Below are 8,274 nucleotides of genomic sequence, written 5' to 3' on the forward strand. Positions count from 1 at the left end.
TGTAATCTCAAGAGAGCTGTGTCTTCATTAGCATGGATAAAGCAGCAGCCTCATCAGTGGTATCAGCAGAGCAATCCACACTTTGTATTTCACAGGAACCCTGGTTCATAGAAAGAAAAGTCAGAGTTCACCACATGGATTTGACTGGGGAATGCTTTTTTAGAGTCACATTATTAAGCACTCATGGAAATAATGTACTGAGGAATAGTTTTGGAAAATACTGGTTTATAGCACAGAAAAATAGGACAGAAGATAGCTGGGCATGGTGGTGTGTGCCTGTAGTCCCAGCTACTCGGGAGTCTGAGGCAGGAGAATTGCTTGAACCCAGGAGGCGGAGGTTGCAGTGAGCCAAGATTGCACCACTACACTCCAGCCTGGCGACAGAGCAAGACTCCATGTCAAAAAAAAAAAGAAGGAAAGAAAAATAGGACAGAAGAGCAGCCCTCTTGCCCTTCTACCAACCCTTAGAAGAATTAGATAATGGTCATATTTCTTGTAAAAAAAAAATCACATCCTGTTTATCTTTGGCACTAATCACAAGTGATGCCCCCAAACCTTCTCAAATCCCCAGATTTCTGAATACCACCTACAGCATATCAACTTCTGTGTAAATTGTACTGGGAATATAACTGAGATGTTTAAATGATTGCATTAGCCATTGTTGATTCTATAAACATGGGAATAATCTTTTCATTAAATTTACTGATGTCATTTTTTCATATCATTAAAACACAAAATTGTCCTCTGCCTGCAACCACTGGAAACAAGTAGGCTATATCTGGGCAGATCTGTGAGGCCCACACACCATGTAGCCATCTTGGGCCTGGACTGGGAAAATAAATGGCTCATGCTTCTGATTAATTGATATGGTTTAAACTTGTGCTCCTGCCCAAATCTCATGTCTAATTGTAATCCCCAATGTTGGAGGAGGAGCCTGGTGAGAGGTGATTGGATCATGGGGGCAGACTTCCCCTTTGCTGCACTCATGATAGTGAGTGTGTTCCCGTGATAGTGCATGAGTTCTCATGAGATCTTGTTCTTTAAAAGTGTATGACACACACCCCCCCAACTCTCTTTCCTTCTGCTCTGGCCATGTAAGATGTGTCTACTTCCTCTTTGCTTTCCACCATGACTGTAAGTTTCCTGAGACCTCCTCAGCCATGGTTCCTGTATAGCCTGTGGAACTGTAAGCCAATTAAACCTGCTTTCTTTATAAATTACCCAGTCTCAGGTAGTTCTTTATAGCAATGTGAGAATGGACTAATACAGAAAATTAGTACCTAGGAGTGGGGCACTGCTGTAAAGATACCTGAAAATGTGGAAGCAACTTTGGAACTGAGTAAGAGGTAGAAGTTGGAACAGTTTGGAAAGCTCAGAAGACAGGAAGATGAGGGAAAGTTTGGAACTTTCTAGAGACTTGTTAAATTGTTGTGACCAAAATGCTGATAGTGACATGGACAATGAAGTCCAGGCTGAGGTGGTCTCAGATGGAGATGAGGAACTTATTGGGAAATGAAATAAAGGTCACTCTTACTATGCTTTAGCAAAGTGACTGGCAGCATTATGTCCCTGCCCTAGAGATCTGTGGAACGCTAAACTTGACAGAGATTAGGCTATCTAGCAGAAAAAGTTTCTAAGCAGCAAAGCATTGAAGACATGGCTTGGCGGCTTCTAACAGCATATGCTCATATGGATGAGCAAAGATATTATCTACAACTGGAACTTACATTTAAAAGGGAAGCAGAGCAAAAAAGTTTGGAAAATTTGTAGCCTGATAATGTGGTAAAAAAGTAAAACCCATTTTCTTGGAAAGAATTAAAGTCAGCTGCAGAAATTTACTGCATAAGTAAAGAGGAGCCAAATGTTAATAGCCAAGACAATGGGAAAAATGCCTCAAAGGCATTTCAGAGACCTTCATGGCATCCCCTCCCATACAGGCCCAGAGGCCTAGGAGGGAAAAATGCTTTCATATGTCAGGCCCAGGGTCCTGCTGCCCTGTGCAACCTTGGGACACTGATCCCTGCATCCCAGCCACCCTAGCTCCAGTTATGGCTAAAAGGGCCCCAGATATGTCACAGGCTGCTGCTCCAGAGGGTACAAGCCTTAAGCCTTGGCAGCTTCCACATGGTAATAAGCATGTATGTGCACAGAAGGCAAGAGTTGAGGTTTGGGAGCCTCTGCATAGATTTCAGAGGCAGTACAGAAATGCCTGGATGTCCAGGAAGAAGTCTGCTGCAGGGATGGAGCCCTCATGAAGAACCTCTACCAGGGCAATGCAGAGGGGAAACACAGAGTCCCCACTGGGGCACTGCCTAGTGGAGCTGTGAGAAGATTGCCACCATCCTCCAGACCCCAGAATGGTAGATCCACCAACAGCTTGCACCATGTACCTGGAAAAGCCACGGCACTCAACATTTGCCCATGAAAGCAGCTGAGGGGGCATTGTACCCTGCATAGCCACAAGGGCGGAGATGCCTAGGGCCTTGGGAGCCCACCTTTTGCATCAGTGTGGCCTGGATGTGAGACATGGAGTCAAAGGAGATTATTTTGGAGCTTTAAGATTTAATGACTGCCCTGCTGGGTTTTGAACTTGCATGGGGCCTGTAGCCCCTTTGTTTTGGCTGATTTCTCCTTTTGGGAATTGGGCATTTACCCAATGCCTGTACCCCCATTATATCTTGCAAGTAACTAAATTATTTTTTATTTCACAGGCTCATAGGCAGCAGGGACTTGACTTGTCTCAGATGAGACTTTGGACTGTGGACTTTTGAGTTAATGCTGAAATGAGTTAAGACTCGGGGAACTGTGGAAAAGTGATGATTGTATTTTGCAATGAGAGAAGGACATAAAATTTTGGAGGTGCCAGGGGCAGAATGATATGATTTGCATTTGTGCGCTTGCCCAAATCTCATGTTGGATTGTATACCCATTGTTGGAGGAGGGTCCTGATAGCAGGTGACTGGATCATGGGGATGGACTTCCCCCTTACTGTTCTCATGATAGTGAGTGAGTTTTCATGAGACTTGGTTGTTTAAAAGTGTGTGGCACATCCCTCCTCTCTCTCTCTTTTCTTCTGCTCTTACTGTGTAAGGGTTGCCTACTTCCCCTTAGCCCTCTGCCATGATTGAAAGTTTCCTGAGGCCTCCCCAGCCATGCTTCCTGTGCAGCCTGCAGAGCTGTGAGTCAATTAAACCTTTTTTCTTTATAAATTACCCAGTCTCAGGTAGTTCTTTATAGCAGTGCAAAAATGGACTAATACACCAATTTTGATGATGGACTTTGTAAAATTGCAAAGATCATTACTGCAGTTGCCACTTCTAAGATTTGGTTACTTGTAAAACAGCAACAATTATTAAGAGCATGTTGACTTTCCCCATGCCTGACATATTTGGGGGCACTTTTCATGTACTGCTTTATTTCGCCCTCACTATAGCCCTATGAGCTGGGCACTGTTGCAATCCCTCTTTCACAACTGTGGCTGCTGAGATACAGAAACCTCATTTGAATATTGCTTTCCTGATACAACGCAAATGCATTTCATTATCCCCAGGTCTTCATGGCATAAGTGGCATTTAACCTAGCCTCAGGAGAGAACATTGGATATTTTTAAATGTAAGAAATAGGCTGAGATCCTAAGCAAAGAGCTTTAAAAGATCCTCTGAACTTGAAATGAAGGTCACCAGGTCAACTGTTGAAACCTTAATAGTCCTTTCCCCTCCAATAATTTTATCAACTGGTGCCACAGGATAGATAAAATTACTGCAGCTTTCAAGTTCAAGGTAATAAAGGAGATGGGGAAGATGCCATGGTGATGGTGGGAGAAATACAGACTTTTCAATGAATAGGGAAGACTACAGAAATAGAAAAATAACATAAAGGGCTTGATGCCTGGAATCCCAGCACTTTGGGAGGCTGAGCCTGACGTGGGAGCATTGTTTGAAGCCAAGAGTTTGAGAGCAGCCTGAGAAACACAGTGAGACTCCACCTCTACCAAAAAAATTAAACAATTAGCTGGGCATGATGGCACGTGCCTGTAGTACTGGCTACTCAGGAGGATGCAGTGAGATGATTGTCTGAGCCCAGGAGTTTGAGGCTGCAATGAGCTATGATCATGACACTACACTCCAGCCTGGGTGACAGAGCGAGGCCCCGTCTCCAAAAATAAATAACATAAAGGAAGGTGGTGAGAAGACCCAGCAAGTACTTCAGAATGGTGATAGTAAAATGTCAAAATGCACTCATGGCTTTAAAATTTTGGGGCAGAATTATTAGAAGTTAGGAGGAGGCTCAGAATCAGACTGCCTAGGTCAAAACTTCACTCTACTATTTTCTAGCTAAATTACTGAAACAGTTAGTTAGCTTTCTTTCTTTCTTTCTTTCTTTCTTTCCTTTTATTTATTTATTTATATTTTTTGAGACGGAGTCTCACTCTGTCACTAAGGCTGGAGCTGGAGTGCAGAGGCACTATCTCTGCTCACTGCAACCTCCGCTTCCTGGGTTCAAGCATTCTCCTGCCTCAGCTTCCAGCATAGCTAGGATTATAGGCACACACCACCACACCCAGCTAATTTTTGTATTTTTAGTAGAGACGAGGTTTCACCATGTTGACCAGGCTGGTCTTGAACTCCTGACCTCAAATGATATGCCTGCCTCCCAAAGTGCTGGGATTATAGCGCTTTGATTATAGGTGTGAGCCACCATGCCCAGCCAAGTTAGTTGGCTTTCATAAGCCTTGGTTTGCACCAAAAATTGAAGTAATAATATTATCTACTCCAATGGAAGAATTCATAAAATGGTGCCTTATATATGTTAAACTCTCAATAAATGATAGTTTATTATAGTCTCCATCTCAAAAAAATCTATTCATACAGATTTGGATGAAAAATGGTCTTTACAAACCTTCCTATGTTAAATAGGTCTTGAAAAAGGAAGAAGCCAATCTTAGTGATGGATACCTCAATTCTACTTCAAAATCATTTCATAAATGAGATAAGATATGAAAAATTTCTTAGAATAATGTTGAACACATAGTAAGTGCTCCATAAATGGCAGATATTATAATATGAATTATTATTTATGATTGCACAATGGATATTTATGTATGTGGATGGCTGATTTGGGGCTACACCAGCTCTTACCCCAATTCTAAACCAAATTGCATGTCCAAAGAATGTCAGAACCTTTGTAACCCTTATTCTGTGAAAGCATGGACAGCTCACATGTGACCCCCTGTTGGGAAGATGACCAGTGTGGTGAGGGCCAGCCCAGGCACCCCAGGGGTAGGAAGGCCACAGAGCCTTTGTTGGGACAGAGTGAGGGGAAGGCAGTGGATCACATTCTCAGAAGGACAGAGCGGCAGGTGAAAAGTGGAGATTCTCTGTGACTGTGAGAGACATAGGCATGATGTCACACACTTGACACATATCATTATCTAAAATGTGAAAGTAAAGAGATCATGGGCAATCTCAATAATATCTGTAATAAAACCAATATCTAGGCTGGGCATGGTGGCTCATGCCTATAATCCTAGCACTTTGGGAGGCTGAGGCAGGAGGATCGCTTGAGGCCAGGAATTTGAGGCCAGCCTGGGCAACATAGTGAGACCCTGTCTCTACAAAATAAATAAGTAAATAATGTGTAATGTCTATCATATATATATATATATTTGTTTTTTAAAAAATCAATATTTACTATTACTTTGGTGCAGGAATTGGCAAACTATGGCCTGAAGGCCAAAATCTGGCTCTCCTCTAGCTTTTGTACAGCCCATGTGCAAAGAATGGTTTTTATATTTTGATGTGGTTGAAAAAAATCAAAGGAGGAATGATAGTTTATGATGTGTGAAAATCAAATGATATTCAAATTTAAGTGTCCATAAATAAAATTTCATTGGAATACAGCCACACTCATTCATTTATGTATGTGGATGGCTGATTTGGGGCTACACCAGCAGAGTTGAGTAGTTACAACAGCCCCGCAAATCCTGAAACACTAACTCTATTAATCATCTGTACCTTTACAGAAGAAGTTTACCCTGATCTAGGGCATTGTGCAATTCGGTGTCTTCTCATTCATTCACTCATTTAACAAATATTTTGTCCAGGCACCAAGGAGACTGAGATCCAAAGAGGCAGGGAAGAGAAATGAAACTGAGTTATAGCATCCATAGTGCTTCAACAGAGATAAATACATGCCAAAGACAGCAGTGCCATGAGGGAGTGGCTAGCTGATGGGGAGGGTTGCAAGGGTTTAGTCAAGGTTTCAGAAATGAAATAACAGTTCACCGGGTTCTCAAACATACAACACACAATGGGCAGTAGCCAGACAGTCTGCTGTCCCAATTTTGCAGATGAGAATACAGGAGCGCAGAAAGGCCAATGGCATCCTTAAGGTTAACTGGTAAAGCAGGATCAGGGCAAGGTCAGAACCTCCAGCCTTCCCACTCCAGGCCCTTGTGCACTCCAGAAGCAGGCTGTGTGACAACCAGGGAAGAACCCTCTATGCAAGGGTGGGAAGCCAGCAGAGGGGAAAGACAAGATGACTAACACAAGGCATAGATCAGATTTGGTCACGGAGACTGTTACCAGCAGCAAATTCATATGGGTATGAGTCTGCAGACACCACAATTCTTGCCTCCTTAGAAAAAAGAATTCAAAAGCCGGGCGCGGTGGCTCACGCCTGTAATCCTAGCACTTTGGGAGGCCGAGGCGGGCGGATCTCGGGGTCAGGAGATCGAGACCATCCTGGCTAACATGGTGAAACCCCGTCTCTACTAAAAATACAAAAAAAATCAGCCGGGCATGGTAGCGGGTGCCTGTAGTCCCAGCTACTTGGGAGGCTGAGGCAGGAGAATGGCGTGAACCCAGGAGGCGGAGCTTGCAGTGAGCCGAGATTGCGCCATTGCACTCCAGCCTGGGCTAGAGCAAGACTCCGTCTCAAAAAAAAAAAAAAAAAAAAAAGAATTCAACTGGAAGGTCGTAAGGCAGAAGGAGAAACCAAGGCAAGTTTTAGAAAGTTTATTAAAAAGCTTTAGAGCAGAAATGAAAAGAAGTAAAGTACACTTGGAAGAAGGCCAAGCAGGCAACTTGAAAGATCAAGTGTGCATTCTGGCCATTTGACTTGGGGTTTTATATGTTGGCATACTTCTGGGGTCTCCTGTTACCTCTCCCCTGATTCTTCCCTTGGGGTGGGCTCTCCACATGTGCAGTGGCCTGCTAGCACTTGGGAGGGGAGCACATGCAGGGTGTATATTGGAGTTGTATGCATGCTCACCTGAGGCTTCTTCCCCCACCAGTCTAGTTTTCCTAGAGGAAGGTCATATGCCAGTTAAACTTTGCCATTTTGCCTCCTGATGCATGCGCTTAAGCCCACTTGCTCAACTCCTGAGATCTTATCAGGAAGCTGTTGATCACCAGTTTCAGGTTTTTCTATCTATTGGGAAACTGCCTTTCCCTAGCCCCAACTGTAACCAATTATTATTTGAAAGAGACAGTTAACAACCACCTGACCATCACCTGATGGTCAGCTGACATTCCTGGTTTGTGTGGGGGGGTGTTGAAGGTATCTCTCTTCTCCCCTACTCATCCCTAACTAGCTACGTACTATAACAGATACAACCACTGGCAGTGGAAGCTCAAAGTGCATGCTGGTGCAGGACAAGTGGACCTTCCAAATGACCACCTGAGAACATGAGCAATTGCTTTATGGACTGTAAGTTACTATTCTGAGTACTTTATGCTGTTTGTGTTTTAGGAGAACTGATGCCAAAGCCTGCATTTTGTTACCTTCTTTGGAATCATTGGGAATATCCCAAGTTTGAAGTCTGATTTGTTTCTATTGCTCTGGTTTGGGACACATCCATGGAAGCCTAGAAGAGGAGAGGATTATCCTTTTAAATTTAGCCATTTTCCAACCTTTTTTTTAAATTTGCTTTGTTTTGTTTTCTTTCAGCAAATGTGTTAAATGCCTACCATGTGTTAGGAATTTTTACATTATGTCATTTCAATAAATTATGGTTACTAGTAAATGGCAATTGTGCTGAACATATAAATGTTTTATTTTATTTTATTGTATTATCAAAACAGTCCTATGAAATACAGGTTTGTAAATTTGGAAGTGGAAGATCAGAATGAGTGAAAAAGGAAAAACAAACTGACGTTATTTCAGTGCCAGTGACAAAATTCAAAAGGCATGTCATTTTTTTTTTGCTATCATAAATAAGGCAGCAGAGAATAACACTGAAATAAAGAAAAAACTTTTTATTATGCAAAAAAT

This window comes from Homo sapiens, chromosome 11 (genome assembly GCF_000001405.40).
Source record: "Homo sapiens chromosome 11, GRCh38.p14 Primary Assembly".
NCBI lineage: Eukaryota > Metazoa > Chordata > Mammalia > Primates > Hominidae > Homo > Homo sapiens.